This window comes from Homo sapiens, chromosome 3 (genome assembly GCF_000001405.40).
Source record: "Homo sapiens chromosome 3, GRCh38.p14 Primary Assembly".
In the NCBI taxonomy this organism is placed as follows: Eukaryota; Metazoa; Chordata; class Mammalia; order Primates; family Hominidae; genus Homo; species Homo sapiens.
The window spans coordinates 20,940,200-20,957,115 of record NC_000003.12 but is presented as its reverse complement, the minus strand read 5'-3'; the positions used below and the strand labels follow the sequence as shown (position 1 = coordinate 20,957,115).

The 16,916-nt window shown below is 34.3% G+C and overlaps 1 long non-coding RNA gene across 1 annotated transcript in view; it reads right to left on the bottom strand.

Moving 5' to 3' along the window:
• Positions 1 to 213: 213 nt before the first annotated feature.
• Positions 214 to 16,916, bottom strand: part of LOC107986068 (uncharacterized) — a 51,383-nt gene continuing 34,680 nt past the window's right edge. The window contains exons 2-3 of the long non-coding RNA XR_001740619.2: positions 13,696 to 13,811; positions 214 to 2,948 (exon numbers count right to left, since the gene is read on the bottom strand). This is a non-coding gene — a long non-coding RNA (uncharacterized LOC107986068). The remainder of the gene's footprint in view (positions 2,949 to 13,695; positions 13,812 to 16,916) is intronic.

The following is a 16,916-nucleotide window of genomic DNA, read 5'->3' as shown; positions in this document are numbered from 1 at the left end:
CCCACCTCAGCTTCTCAAGTAACTGGGCTACAGGCATGTACCATCATGCCCAGCACTTTTGTTTTTTAACTTTGTTGTAGAGATGGAATCTCACTATGCTGTCCAGGCTGGCCTTAAACTCCTGGGCTCAAATAATTCTCCTGCCTTGGCCTCCCAAAGTGTTGGGATTATAGGCATGAGCCACTGTGCCCAGCCACAATGTAAAAAATTAAGAGTATCAAACACAAAGAGAAACTTCGATACATTTTAGTAAAGTAACAGTACAACACTGACCACTGGACAAGAAACTAACTGGCAACTGTGCTAGATAAATAAGAGTATGGAATAATATGAAGGGCTTTACAAAGTTCATGGAAAAATGGAATTAAAAGTTGAAAATTAAAAATATCACCGTGATTTCCCAACATAAGCTCCACTGAGATCAAGAAACTTTTGTAAGTAATGATCCCAGCCATTTAGCCCACGCCTAAAGAATTGAGGGGTCCTCAGAATTCAACCATATAATGCATTTTTTTTTTTTACATTACTAACTAAAGAAAAATGAGTGATCTTTACTGTTTTTTTTTTTTTTAAGATTAGGAAACTAAAGGAAATCAGAAAGAGTCAAATCAGAACTGTAAGGTGAACGCTTAATGTTTCCCATTGAAACTCTAGCAAAATTGCTCTTGTTTGATGAGAGGAATGAGCAGGAGCTTTGTTGTGGTGGCAAGAGACTCTGTTGGAGCTTTCATGGGTATTTTTCTGCTAAAGCTTTTGCTAATTCTGCTAAAGCTTTTGCTAATTCTGCTAAAGTTTTTGCTAACTTTTTCAAAACACTCCCATAATAAGCAGATGTTATTATTCTTTGGCACTTCAGCTGTTACCATAACTTCTGCTCTTGACCTGTCTGCTTCTGCTTTGACTGGACCACTTTTACATCTTGGTAGCCATTGCTTTGATTGTGCTTTGTCTTCAAGGTTGTACTGGTAAAGTCATGTTTCATCTCCTATTATAGGTCTTCAGAGACATGCTTCAGGATCTTCTTCAGAGACATGCTTCAGGATCTTGATCCCACTTTTTAAAAATTTCCATTGAAAGCTCTGCTCTTGTCTGCACAAGACAGAGCTTGTTCTCTGTCTTGATATGAGCACAACAGTTTTAGCACCCATTGAGGGGAAAATGTGTTCAACTTTAATTTTTTAGTCAGAATTGTGTAAGTTGAACTAATTGAGATATCTATGGTGTTGACTATTTTTCTCCGGTTAATTGTCAGTTCTCTTCAATCAGCGCAAGAGTACAAACAACATTAATTTTTTTCTCACAAATTGATGTGGATGGTCTGCTATTGTGGGCTTCATTTCAACATCATCTTGTTCTTCTTAAAATGAGTTATTCATCTGTAAATTGTTGATTTATTTGGGTCATTGTCCCCATAAACTTTTTGTAAAGCATCAATTATTTTACCATTCTTTCACCCAAGCTTCACCACAATTGAAGTTCCTGCTTCAATTTCAGCTGAATTCATGTTGCTACAATGGGGGCTCTTTTCAAACTGATGTCTTATCTTTCTTAATGCTTCAAACTAGATCCTGTTCAGACATGTTATAACAAGTTAGTGTAAGCTTATTTTGGTGCCAGAAATATTTTGAAATCCATGCATAGTTTTTTCACAATACACATTTTTCTGTGAACTTTTTGAGCCCCCTCATATGTTCAGGGCAAATTTAAAGATAACTTTAGATCCAAAAAAGCAAAAGAAGAGTAATGTTTTCACTCATAAAAGGCTTCAACGACTTTATCACACAATGACCCTCTCTGAAAGTGTTGTTGGAGGAGGTATACCAGAAAGATGTAAATAAAAATAGGAGGATGCTCTAAAGTGGGTAATAAAATATCATAATTATGTCAACTATTATCTAAATAAACAAATCCAAATTGTACAGTGATAACAATCCAGATATGAAGTTTTAGATAAAAATATAATGTTAGGCAACAGGGGCAGGTCGGTGAAAAACAAGAGGAAAAAGATAACTTGCCAGAGTATCTAGTTTGAGGCAAAATATAGATATTGGTAAATTTAACAAAATGATGGGTAAAAATAACCCAAAATATTGATTATAATTAATTAAGGATAACTACCTAAAGGAAAATAAAGTAGATTAAATAAAATGGACTTTGAATTTTCAAAAGAGCTGAAAAAAATATTGAGCCATTTAATGAGAGAGAGAAAAGGAGGAAAAAGAAAGCATGTTAATGAAAATTACACAGCATAATGGCAGAGCGGAGTTATGCAAAAGGAGTATAGTAAGACTTCAGATTTACCTTACTAGACAATATATGGAAAATAATAATTTCAGGCATCAGACCGTATGTAATGCAGGACTATAATCCCTAAGAAAAGACAAAGCAACAATGTGAGCCTATGGTTGTACCAACTTACTACCTGAAAGGCAATTTTTAAGGCACAGCAGAGTGAGATGTACCCAAACAAAGTCTGGAAATATCACTCAATTGAGGAAACAGATTTTGGAGTTTGGCAAGGCCAAGTTGGCCAGAACTTGTAGGGTGAAGTACTGGAGACTAGGGAGCTGGAGAGAAAGAAAAATAGTGGGGGGAGAGAGAGAGAGAGAGAGAGAGAGCTGAAAATCTGAAGATGGACCGCTGGGGTATTTAGGTAAATATGGATATCTGCAATGGGAGAAAAGATTACCCAAGACTCGAAAAAGAACCCCCAGAGGGGAGTAGTACAAAGGAGTAGGTCTAACAATTCCACTAGCTCACACAGGGCTAGGAATAATTGTAACTCATGAGGGCATCATATAGAAAATGTAGAAGAGTATTACCTGGCTGGGCGCAGTGGCTCACGTCTGTAATCCCAGCACTTTGGGAGGCCGAGGCAGGCGGATCACGAGGTCAGGAGATCGAGACCATCCTGGCCAACATGGTGACATGGTGAAACCCTGTCTCTACTAAAATCCAAAAAAAAAAAAAAAAAATTAGCCTGGCGTGTTAGCTTGCGCCTGTAGTCCCAGCTACTCAGGAGGCTAAGGCAGGGGAATCGCTTGAACCCGGGAGGAGGAGGTTGCAGTGAGCCGAGATCGCGCTACTGCACTCCAGCCTAGCGACAGACCCGGACTCCGTCTAAAAAACAAAGTATTGCCTTAGTAAGTGGGATTATTTTAACCTTAGATTAAAGCTGCTCTGAACCTGTCCTACCAAAGCTTAAGAGCAAAGCTTTAAATAATTCAACAAATTCAAAAAGATCTAGCTATTTTCCAAAAATTTATTGGAACAAAAACCAATGCTCTTTAAAGGGATACAACAAAACAGAAAGAATAAGAAAATTCACAATATCTGGCATCTAATAAAACATTATCAGGCGCACAAAGAAACAGGAATTGATAGCTATTAATTAGGATAAAAATCAATGATAGAACTAAGAATGAGGTACAGTGGGAATAGCAGACAAAGCTGTTAAAGCAGATATTATAAAGATATTCTATATATTTGAGAAAGTAGAAAATATTACTATAATAAAGAGAGAAAATTAAGGTATAAAATGTGCAAATAAAAATTTTAGAGGTGAGAAAATGTAATTTGTGAAATGAAAAATACGGTGGATGAAGTTAAGAGAAAAGACATTACAGAACAAATGATCAGTGATTAATGACGTTGTAAAAATAGCAATAAAAATTAACCAAAATGAAGAAGGAAGAAAAAGATTGAAATACAAAAAAAAATACCAGTAATCAGTGGTACAATATAAAATGAGATAACTTGTGTGTAACTAGAATTTCAGAAAAAAAAGAGAAATATGAGACAACAGAAATAACACCTGAAGGAATATTCACAATTTTTTTTTTTCAAATTGGATGAAAACTGCATATCCATGGAGTTAGAAAGCTCAATAAACCTCTCACTTAGAGGAAACTTAAAGAAAACCAAATCAAGGTAAATTGTAATCAAACTGCTGAAATCTAGCAATAAAGAGAAACTCTGAAAAGCAGACATAGAAAAAGATACATTAAAAATAGAAGAAAAACAACAAGAATGAAAACAGACTTCTCATCAAATGCTGTGTAAGTCAAAATACAATGCAAAAACATCTGCATAAGTGGAAAAATTTAAAAAAAAACAAGAAATGCTTTATTAAGTGAAAATACTTTTTTTCAATTTTGAAGGTAGCGTGAAGACTCTTTTAGGCAAACATATGTTGAAAGAACTTATCACCAGCAGCAGTTGTTACAAGAAATCTTAAAGTTTTTTAAGGAGAATACCAGATAAAAATTTGGATCTACACAAGGAAATGAACAGTGTAACAAATAGTTAAAATGTGGAAATATATATATTTAAGCTTTTTGCTTTTATTATTATTGATTGATACATAATAATTATACATATTGATGGAATACAGTGTGATATTTTGATACATGTATACAATGTGTAATAATCAATAATCAATAATACATGTATACAATGTGTAATAATTTGTGTTGGGAACATTCAAAATTTGCACTTCTAGCTATTTAAAAATATACAATAAATTGTTGTCAATTATAGTCATCCTATAGTGCTACAGAATGCTACAACTTATTTCTCCTATCTAGCTATACTTTTGTATCTGTTAACCATGCTATGGCTATCTCCCCTCCTCCCTACCCTTCCCCACCTCTAGTATTCACTATTCTACTTTCTACTTCTATGAAATCAACTTTTTTATCTTTCATATACGGGTCAGAACATGCAGTATTTATCTTTCTATGTCTGGCTGTTTCACTTAACATAAAGTCCTTCAAGCTCATCCATGTTACAGCACATGATATAATTTTGTTTCTTTTTATGGCTCAATAGTGTTCTAATATGTATATACAACACATTTTCTTTAAACAGTCAAATATATTTTAAGACATATATATACTCTTCATTTCTTTGTGTAGATCTAAATTTTTGTTGGTATTCTCCTTAAATAACTTTATTTAAGATTTCTTATAATAATAGTTTGCTGGTGATAAATCTCTCAACATGTTTGCCTGAAGAAGTCTTTATTACACCTTCATATTTGAAAAACATTTAAAAATATATTTGACTATTTAAAGCAAAAATTATAAATATCATAAAATACTGTTAGGTTTTTAGATGTTGTAGAAGTAAAATGTTTACTAAAGTTCACAAAAAAGATAGAAGATTAAAAGTATACTTTTATAAGATTTTATACTATACATATGCTGGAATTATACTATATGAATTTAGACTGTTATAGTTTAAAGATTTATAGGTGAACCTTAGAAAAACTGTTAAAAATTAAACAATGGTGTTTACTTACTAAACCAATAGTGTAGGTAAGCAGAATAATAAAAGAATGTAGAAAAAAATGAAAAAGAAAAGAGGAGTAGATAGATAGAGGAAAAATAACAGCATGTAAGATTTGAACCCAAAAATGTCAATAATTTTATTCAGTTATATTAACTGTAATAGTCTAAACATTTTAATTAAAAGTGAGAAACTGTCACATGGGATTAAAAACAAAAATCTAACCAAATGTTGTCTATAAGAAACACACTTTAATCTGTATCTTTTTTTTTTTTTTTTTTTGAGACGAAGTCTCGCTCTGTTGCCAGGCTGGAGTGCAGTGGCGCAATCTCAGCTCACTGTAACCTCCGCCTCCCAGGTTCAAGCGATTCTCCTGCCTCAGCCTTCCAGTAGTAGTCCCAGCTGGGACTACAGGCGTGTGTGCCACCAAGCCCAGCTTTTTTTTTTTTGTATTTTTAGTAGAGATAGGGTTTCACCATGTTGGCCAGGATGCTCTTGATCTCTTGACCTCATGATCCACCTGCCTCGGCCTCCCAAAGTATTGGGATTACAGGCGTGAGCCACGGCGCCCGGCAGAAACACACTTTAAATGCGAAGACATATATAGATTGAAAGTAAAATAATGAGGGTGGCCAAGATGGCTGACTAGAAGTAGCTAGTGTAGACCACTGTTTTGGAGAGAAATGAAAGGGGCAAGTAAATATAGCACCTTCAACTGAAACATCCAGGTACCTGCATTGAGACTCATTGAGGAAACAACTTGACCCATGGAGAATGGAGAAAAGCAAGGCAGAATGACCTGGGAGTGACACAGATCTAGGGGAACCTCCCCAACAATATAGGAACTGATAGACAAAATAGCCAGTATAAAAAAGAACCTAACTAATCTGATAGAGCTGAAAAACACACTTAAAGAATTCCACAATGCAATCACAAGCATTAATAGCAGAATAGACCAAGCTGAGAAAAGAATTTCAAAACTTGAAGACTGATCTCTGAAATAAGACAGTCAGACAAAAATAAAGAAAAAATAATAAGAAAAAATAAACAAAACCTCCAAAAAATATGTGATTATATAAAGAGCCCAAATCTATTAATCAGTATATCCTGGAAAGGGACAGGGAGAAAGCAAACAACTTGGAAAACATATTTCAGGATATTGTCCATAAAGATTCCCCAACCTTCCCAGAGAGGCCAACAGTCAAATTCAGGAAATACAAAGAACCCCTGCAAGATTCTGTCTAAGAAGATCATCCTCAAAACACATAATTATCAGATTTTCTAAGGGAGAAATGAAAGAAAGAATGTTAAATGCAGCTAGAGAGAAAGGGCAGGTCATCTACAAAGAGAACCCCATCAGGCGAACAGCGGACCTCTCAGCTGAAACCCTACAAGCCAGAAGAGACTGGAGCCTATATTCAACATTCTTTTAAAAAAAATCTTCAACCAAGAATTTCATATTCAGCCAAACTAAGCTTCCTAAGCAAAGGAGAAATAAAATCCTTTTCAGAGAAGCAAATGCTGAGGGAGTTTGTTACCACCAGACCTGCCTTAAAAGAAATCTTGAAAGGAGCACTAAATTTGGAAAAGAAAGATTATTACCAGCCAATACAAAAACACACTTCAGTACACAAACCAGTGAGACTATAAAGCAACACACAAACAAGCTGGCATAATTACCAGCTAACAACACAATGACAGTATCAAATTCTCACATATCAATACTGTCCCAGAATATAAGAAAGCTAAATACCCTATTTAAAAGACACAGAGTGAACTGCTGGATTAAAAAAAAAAAAAAAAAAACAGGACCAAATGGTATGCTCTCTTCAAAAGACCTATCTCACATGCAGATAATACCCATAGACTCAAAATAAAGGGATGAAGGGAAATACACCAAGCAAATGGGAAACAGAAAAAAGCAGGGGTTGCAATCTTAATTTCAGACAAAACAGACTTAAAAACAACAAAGATCCAAAAAGACAAAGGAAGGACATTACATAATGGCAAATGGTTCAATTCAGAAGAACACCTAACTATACTAAATATATATGCACCCAACACACATGAGCATCCAGATTCATAAAGCAAATTCTTAGAAACCTATGAAAAAATGTAGACTCCCACACAATAATTGTGGGAGACTTCACCACACCACTGACAATATTAGACAGATCATTGAGGCAGAAAATTAACAAAGCTATTCAGAACCTGGTCTTCAACCAAGACCAGGTTGGACCAAACAGATCTGAAAGACTGTTACAGAACTTTCCAACCAAAAGCAACACACAATCTCATCGTCACATGACACATACTCTAAAATAGGCCACATAATCAGACATAAAACAATCCTCAGCTAATGCAAAATAATTGAAATCATACCAGATATACTCTCGAACCACAGTGCAATAAAAATAGAAGCCAAGACTCAAACAAACACTCAAAACCATGTAATAACATGAAAATTAAATAACATGTTTCTGAATGGCCTTTGAGTGAATAAAGCAAAAATCAAGAAGTTATTTGAAACTAATGAGAACAAAGACACAATAAGCTGGAATCTCTGGGACACAGCTAAGGCAGTTTTAAGAGGAAAATATACAGAACTAAAGAAGAGCTAGTACCATTTCTATTGAAACTATTCCAAAAAATTGAGGAGGAGGGAGTTCTCCCCAACTCATTTTATAAAGCCAGCATCATCCTGATACAAAAACCTGGCAGAGACACAACAAAAAAAGAAAACTTCAGGCCACTATCCTTGAAGAACACCATTGCAAAAATCCTCAGCAAAATACTTGCAAACTGAATCTAGCAGTACATCAAAAAGCCAATCCACCACAATCAAGTAGCCTTCATCCGTGTGATGCAAGGTTGGTTGAACACATACAAATCAATAATTGTGATTCATCACATAAACAGAACTATAGACAAAAACCACATGATTATCTCATAGATGCAGAAAAGGCATTCAATTAAATTTAACATCCCTTCCTGTTTAAAACTTTCAGTAAACTAGGTTTTGAAGGAATATAATTCAAAATAATAAGAGCTATCTATGACAAACTCACAACCAATATCACACTGAATGGGGAAAAGCTGGAAGCATTCCCCTTGAAAACCAGCACAAAACAAGCAAAACAAGCAAAACTAGGATGCCCTCTCTCACCCCTCCTATTCAATATAGTATTGGAAGTCTTGGCCAGAGCAATTTGGCAAGAGAAATAAATAAAAGCCATTCAAATAGGAAAAAAGGAAGTCAAATTATCACTGTTTGCAGATGACATGATTCTATGTCTAGAAAACCCCATAGTTGCAGCCGCAAAGCTCCCAGAGCTGATAAACAACTTCAGTGGTTTCAGTATACAAAATGAACGTAGAAAAATTGCTACCATTTCTATACATCAGCAACAGCCAAGCTGAGAGCCAAATGTGAAATGCAATCTTATTCACAAATGCCACAAAAAGAATAAAATACCTAGGAATACAGTTAACCAGAGAGATGAAAAATCTCTACAATGAAAATTATGAAACACTGCTCAAAGAAATCAGAGATGACACAAACAAATGGAAAAACATTCCACGTTCATGAATAGGAAGAATCAGTATTAAAATGGCCATACTGCCCAAAGCAATTTATAGATTCAATGCTATTCCTATCAAACTACCAATGACATTCTTCAGAGAACTAGAAAAGAACTATTTTAAAATTCATGTGGAATAAAAAAAGAACTTGAATAGCCAACACAATCCTAAGCAAATAGAACAAAGCTGGAGGCATCACGTTTTCTGACTTCAAACTATACTACTGAGCTACAGTAACCAAAACAGCATGGTACTGGTACAAAAACAGACACATAGACCAATGGAACAGAATAGAGGGCCCACGAATAAGGCTGCACACCTACAACTGTGTGATCTTTGACAAAGCTGCCAAAAAAAAAAAGCAATGGGGAAAAGACTTCCTATTGAATAAATGGTGCTGTGATAATGAGCTAGCCATATGCAGAAGATTAAAACTGGATCCCTTCCTTATATCATGTACAAAAATCAACTCAAAATAGATTAAAGACTTAAATGTAATACTATAAAATACTATAAAAACCCTGGAAAACAACCTAGGCAATACCACTCTGAACATACAAATGGGTAAATATTTCAAGATGGTGACACCAAAAGCAATCACAACAAAAGCAAAAATTGACAAATGGGATCTAATGCAACTTAAGAGCTTCTGCACAGCAAAAGAAACTATCAACAGAGTAAACGGACAACCTACATAATGGAGAAAATATTTGCAAACTTTGCATTTGACAGTGGTCTAATATCCAGTATCTATAAGTAACTTAAGTACATTTATTAGAAAAAAACAAATAACCCCATTCAAAAGTGAGCAAAGGACATGAACGGACATTTTTCAAAAGAAGACATGCATTCAGCCAACAATAATATGAAAAAAAAATCTCAATATTGTTGATTAGAGAAATCCAAATCAAAACCACAATCAGATACCATCTCACAACAGTCAGAATGTCTTTTATTAAGAAGTCAAAAAAATAACAGATGCTGGTAAGATTGGTGGGAGTGTAAATCAGTTCAACCATTGCGGAAAGCAGAGTAGAAATTTCTCAGAGAGCTAAAAACAGAATTACCCTTTGACCCTGCAATCCTATTACTGAGTATGTACCCAAAGGAATATAAATTATTCTTCCATAAAGACACAGGCACACAAATGTTTATTACAGCACTATTCACAACAGCAAAGACATGGAATCAACCTATATGCCCACCAATGACAGACTGGATAAAGAAAATGTGGTGCATATACACCATGGAATACTAAGCAGCCATAAGAAAGAAAAATATCATATCTTTTGTGGGAACATGGATGGAGCTGGAGGCCTTTATTCTTAGCAAACTAATGCAGGAAAAGAAAACCAAATGTTCTCACTTGTAAGTGGGGGCTGAATGATGAAAGAGGGGAACAACAGGCAGTGGGGCCTACTTGAGGGTGGAACAGGGGAAGAGGGAGAAGATCAGAAAAAATAACTATTGAGTACTAGGCCTAGGACCTGGGTGATGAAATAATCTGTACAACAAACCCCCATGACATGAGTTTACCTATCTATCAAAGCTATAAATGTACCAGTGAACCTAAAAGTTAAAAATAAAAAAATAAAAAATAGTAAAAAATCTAGACCGTGAAAACCCAAATTGAAAGAAATATAGAGTATCCTATTAATATTAACCAAAAGATTTCAGAGAAAGGCACAATCCCAGAGTTAAAGAGAAAAATTTTATAATAATAAAGGGGTTTATTCATGAAGAGAATATAAAAATTCTTAAATGTTCATGCACCTAATAACATTTAAAGATAAAGAAAGCAAAAAATGATAGTACTAAAAGAAGAAATATAGAAATTCATAAATAGTGTTGAGAATGTTAATCCTCCTCTCTCACTACTTAATACAAAAAGTAGATAGGCATTTAGTAAGGATATGGAAGAATTTAACATCACTATCAGAAAAGTTTATCTAATTAACCTGTATAGAACAATGCCCCCAACAACAATAGCCTACACATGCTTTTCAAATAAATATGTGATATTCATCCAGATAGAACATATATAGGTCATATATAGGTCTGGGCCATAAAACACATCTTGTTCAGTTTAAGAGGGCTGAAATAATGAAAAGTGTGTTTTATGACCAAAACTGATTTAAACTAGAAATTGATATAAAAAAGATATCTGGAAAATTGCCAAGTATTTTGAAATTAAACTACAAACTTCAAAATAACTCATGGATGAAAGAAAATCACAAAGAAAATTAGAAAAATATTAGAAAAAAATTAACTAAATGAAAATCAAAGCATAGCAAATTAAGGTGTGTAAGATGCAGTTAAGTTTTTTAGGAAGGAAATAATATTACTAAACAATTATATTAGAAAAAAAGAAATATCTCAAGTCAATCATCTGAGTTTCTAACTTAAGAATCTAGAAAAAGATTGAAAGAGGGAAAAGATTAAAGGAGAGGCTATTATTTCAGATCCTACAGCTATTAAATTGTTTATAAAATGCACAAGAAAAATTCTAGCCCCAGATGTCTTAAGTGGTGACTTCTAACAAACATTTAAAGAAGAAATACCAATTCTACACGAACTTTTGCAGAAAACGAAAGATACAAAAACATATTTCAATATATTTTATGATCTCAGACATACTCTGTATGAAACTTGACAAAGACATCACAAGTAAACTACAGATCAATATTCTTTGGGAATGGAGACAAGAAATTGTTTGACAGAATATATATTAAATCCATTATCCAGAAAATGATAAATAGATCATGTCCAAATATGGTTTATCCCCTAAATGCATGATAGATTTGACATAGAAAACTGGTCAATACACTTCATCATATTAACCGATTTAAGAAGAAAGAAACACATAATATTCTTAATAAATGCAGAAAATGCAATGGACAAAATTTGAAAAAATTTGATGAAAATTATCACTCAACTAGGAACAAAAGGGAAAATTGATCACCTGAAGAAAAAGTTGGGGGATCTACAAAGAAACCTGGGGCTATTATCATAAGTGACGGTGAAAGACTAAATGTTCTTTCTCCAAGACCGAGAATAGAGTAAGAATGTTTAATGTAATAACTGTGATTCAGAATTTTACTAGAGGTTCCACCCTGTGTGATAATGCAAGAAATAACAAGAAATACAAGATGATATGTGGACAAAACTGTAAGGAAGTTCATTTGACCACGTAACACAGACAAAAACTCCACTTTGTTTTTTCTCTACTAGTTCTAAAACTAATATTTTCATATTCTTCTGATAATACCTTTGTTCTAATCTCAGGCAAAAACTTTCAACACCACAAATACTTAATATATTTTACAAGAATAAGAATGTGTGTGTCGATAAGCTGTTTGGATCAAGTCCTGGCTGAAAAAAAAAAAAAAAAAAAACAGAATTAGGATTTGAAGGAACAAAATGTGAAACTGTTGATTGCCAGTGATGAACTGAGGAGTATGAATAACTCCAATATGCACATGAAACTCATAGAAATAACACTCTACATCTGAAAAAAAGTTAAATGCCAATGTGAATGAACTAATTAAAAAGGAAGACTCTAAAAGAACAATTACAAGATTCTTCAGAATATGCACAGTTGAATCTATTGTCCGTGGAAGGGAAGAGACACGTTCTCAAGTGTAAATGGATGGCATAGAAAGATAGTTGAAGATGTTCCAAATTTGTAGGTTTGGTGGGAAGAAGTTGAGAAAATTCCCAATTGATGGCTTCTTATTTCTCAATATTAAAAGTGAGATAATGTGTTGAGAGGGAAGAGACAGACATAGCATTAAAAATTTAAAGAGCCTGGAAAAAATTGGAATCAAGCTGCCTTAAAAAGTGAAAGCGTGCATTAACCAGAGAAGTGTAGGATACACACATACAGTCACATTTACACATATATCCTCATGTATTATTTATATATAGACAGATTTACTCAAAAAAAGGAAACAAAGAATACAAAGTGTTAAAAGAGGTTAAATCTGAGCAAGGAGATAACAGGTAATTTAATTTTTAAGACTGTGTATTTTCTAAAATAAAATATATTACTTTTAATATCAGATTAAGGAAAGGTTTTGTGATGACATGGGACAGCACAAATTTAGGGTTAGAATTAACAATATGGCTAAGCCTCAGAACAGGAATAATCTGTTGAGGGAGTTACATGGAATGAGCGTCTCCCCAACTTCTTATCCAAAGATCTTGAAAAAATTCTTAGAGCAGAATATGTAGATTACACTACCAAGCAGAGTATGATATCAATAAAATTTCTTTCCTTTTTTTTTTTTTTTTTTTTTTGAGACCAAGTCTCCCTCTGTCACCCAGGCTGGAGTGCAGTGGCGCGATCTTGGCTCACTGCAAGCTCCGCTTCCCAGGTTCACGCCATTCTCCTACCTCAGCCTCCCAAGTAACTGGAACTACAGGTGCCCGCCACCATGCCTGGCTAATTTTTTGTATTTTCAGTGGAGATGGGGTTTCACCATGTTAGCCAGGATGGTCTCGATCTCCTGACCTCGTGATCCGCCCACCTCGGCCTCCCACAGTGCTGAGATTACAGGCGTGAGCCACCGCGCCCGGCCAATATCAATAAAATTTCTAAAGATAGATTATGTGTACCTTAGCCTAAATTTAACAATAGTTTACATTGTTTTTGTAAGAATTTTCACTCCTTTTGAGATGAGCTATTTCATTCAGTGTTCAACTCATAAAATTTATGTCAGGATGCTTCCCATTCTTAAGAAATGGTTTTGGAGCCCAGAAGAAAGGATGGATTTTTCATAAGTGATGTTGCAAGGCAATGGCAGAACTGGAATCAAAACTCACCTCTTCCAGATGTTGAATTTTGTACTCAGCTGAATGTCGTGCACATGACCTTCTTTGTGCTTCTAACATCCTTCAGTCTGCATCTGTTTTATATACTGCTCCACTGAGAAAGATCCCTAAACAGATGCAATATGTAAAGTATGTGAAAAAAGAAAGAGTTGAAGATATACTATTATAGTCAATCAAGCTAAAATTAGTTTTCTTCTGTTTCCAAAATTCTGATTGATTCAGAATGCTCCAAGCTCATTGATTGGGTCAGACATTAGCCAGGTGAGAGATATCCATTTCTGTGTTTTTAAATACACTTTACAAGACTTAGGTTCAAATAAAGTTTAAACTGTGTCAAGGCAGTGAAGACTTTCCAAACTCAGACAGGAACTAGCTTTCCAATCAGGTTCAGTGAAGATGTTATATTTCAATGTTAAAGATGACATAAATTAAAGTAATTTTTAGTCCCATTGTTTTCAGTGACTGACTCGTGTGGCTAAATGAACTCCTCCAATAGTAATCTATCAAAGAGGACGTATTTCCAGTGTTAGCTTCTTTTATTTCCTTCAACTTAATAACATGTAAAGGATCAAATGGTCTTTTCATGCCTCTGGGAAAAGAGACATGATCTGGAAATTCCTGAGAGTTACAGGATTTCACACCCTATTGAATTGCCATTAGGGTAACTGCATAATTTTTTTGTCTAAATAGGACATAAGAAGAGCTATGTCTTAAATTCCAGGACAAATCTTTCACAATCCAAATGCTTTCACAAATCCAAACTCTCCTCTTTTTCTAGAGGTATGAAACTTTCAAAGTAATTTGTAAGAATTTGTTCCTTTCTCCTACAATATATTTTGATAGATAAGATTCTAATTTTGTAAACATCCCCTTTTCCCCAACAATAATAGTTGGGCTCTTTCCCCTCTTCATTTTCTTCTCTCTTTACTTTTGAAAGCAACGTATCTAACCCTCCCCCTTTTCTATATTCCATATAGTTTTTCTGCACTGGCAAAATCCTACTGAATTTTCGGAGAAAGACTGAGAAACCACCATAGACCAGAAAAGACTGAGGAGATCAGACAGCTAAATGCAATGTGGTACTTGAATTGAATTCTGGAACGGGACAAGGACATTAATGAAAAACTGTTGAAAGTTGAAGTCTGGAATTTAGTTAATTGTAATGTATCCATGTCAGTTTTTAAAATGTACCATGATAATACAAGGCATTAACACTGGAGAAAACTAGAAACATTAGTTTACAAGGGTTGCCGTGAAAAACTACCATGCACTGGATGGTTTAAACAACAGAAATTTACTTTCTTACAATTCTGGAGGCTTTAAATCCAAGAAAAAGGTGTTTGCACATTTGGTTTCTTCTGAGGCCTCATTCCTTGGCTTGCACATGGCTGACTTCTTACTGTGTCCTCACAGGGTTGTCTCTGTGTCTGTGTAACTGTGACCTAGTTTTCTTTTTATAAGGACACCAGTCATATTGGATTAAGGCCCACCTTTATAACTTCATTATTCCTTAACTACCTCTTTAAAGGCCTTATCTCCAAATACAGTCACATTCTGAGGTACTAACAGTTAAGATTTCAACATATAAATTTGAGGAGACATAAATAAGCCCATAACACAGGATGAAGAGTATAATATGACTCCAATTTTTTGCAACTTTTCTATAAATTTTTAAATTATTGTAAGATACACTTTTTTAATTTAAAAAAATTCTACTAGTTTTTATGAAATGACATTTTTTTCTTATTGGTAAGAATGAAACCATACTCAAATTTAAAACAAAGAGCACTACAACCATCTTTATATCTGAATTTCTTTACCTTAATTCTCCTTCAACCACCTTCAAAGTGGCTGTTACACTATTTATTTATGTGATGTATTAAAAATGCAACTGTGTCCCATATGCTTCTGGACACATAGAAAGAGTATCACTACCTGTAAATAACCAATGAAGGACTTTGTAAGATAGTCAACTTAGATTACCTGAAACCAAACTAACCCTTTCACAACTGTTACATTTTTGTAATCTTGGACAAGCCATAATTGATCTTTATTTCCATTGACTTCTATTTCTAAGCTCAATAACTATTATTTCTACTCTAAAATGATTAAAATAACCAGTAAGCAGATGTAGAAAATGGGCAGTATTAATAATAGTATTAATGATCAGTACTAATAATATAAATATTACTTATTTAATCACCATTTCTTAATTCAGCTTACTAGATATAGAAGTTTCTAAAGGTCTCTTCACTGTGTTTGGTTATGCTTTCTTTAAGAAGAAAAGATTAAATAAAATTATATGAGACAAGGCTTGGGACAATTTCCATTTTATCTCTTTGCTTGTAGCAGGATAACTATAAAAGACTGTGCAATAATGTCTTCAACGCACTTCACTACACATCTTCTCTTCGTAGGTCCCTGAAGAGGAATCAAGTGACCCTTAGAATTCCCAAGTCTCTGAGAGCATAGGAGTAATAGGAGAAATCCCCCTATTAATCTTCTTTCTAGAATAAGAATCATACTCCAACAAACCTCTAGTAAAAGAGGTCAAGAATTTCCCATTATGATTCACTTAGTTTTCCTTAATAGTATAACCCAAATACCCCTCCAAAACCCAAGTTTCTTCCAGGACTTAACAAGCCAAAGGAGGAAAAGAAGCTAAGAAAGGCCATTAATGTTGAGACATGTCATTTGCAATGGGACCTCAAATTGCTATTGGAAGCTGAGAGCTGCAGGAATTTTCTTAAAAGTTTTGGAGCCATTCCCAGCTGACTTTTTGGTTTTATTTTTTACTTTTTAACAAGACTGCTATTTTTTTTTAAATTTCTAAATGCCTTTGTTGCTGTCACTCTCCAAGGTCAAGTTAAAATCGCTCCACTCAGGTATCAAGTCCCATTAGACCTGAGAATGTTTTTTTATTGCCCTTTCTCATGGACAATGTGATACTCCAGAGTCTCTGTGCACCTTATTCTGTACATCTTCTTATATGTGCTGATTAGTATCATATTTACATTCTTGAATTTGAATCTTAGCTTCATCCATTGCTGGCTGTATGTGCTTGCACAATTTTCTTAACATTTATGAGTCTATTTCAATGTCTACCGAATAGGGATAATTATACCTACTATATAAAATGTTAACGAAAAGTACTTTACGTAAGTGATACCAATACCTGGAACATAGGAAATACTCACTAAATGGAAGCTATT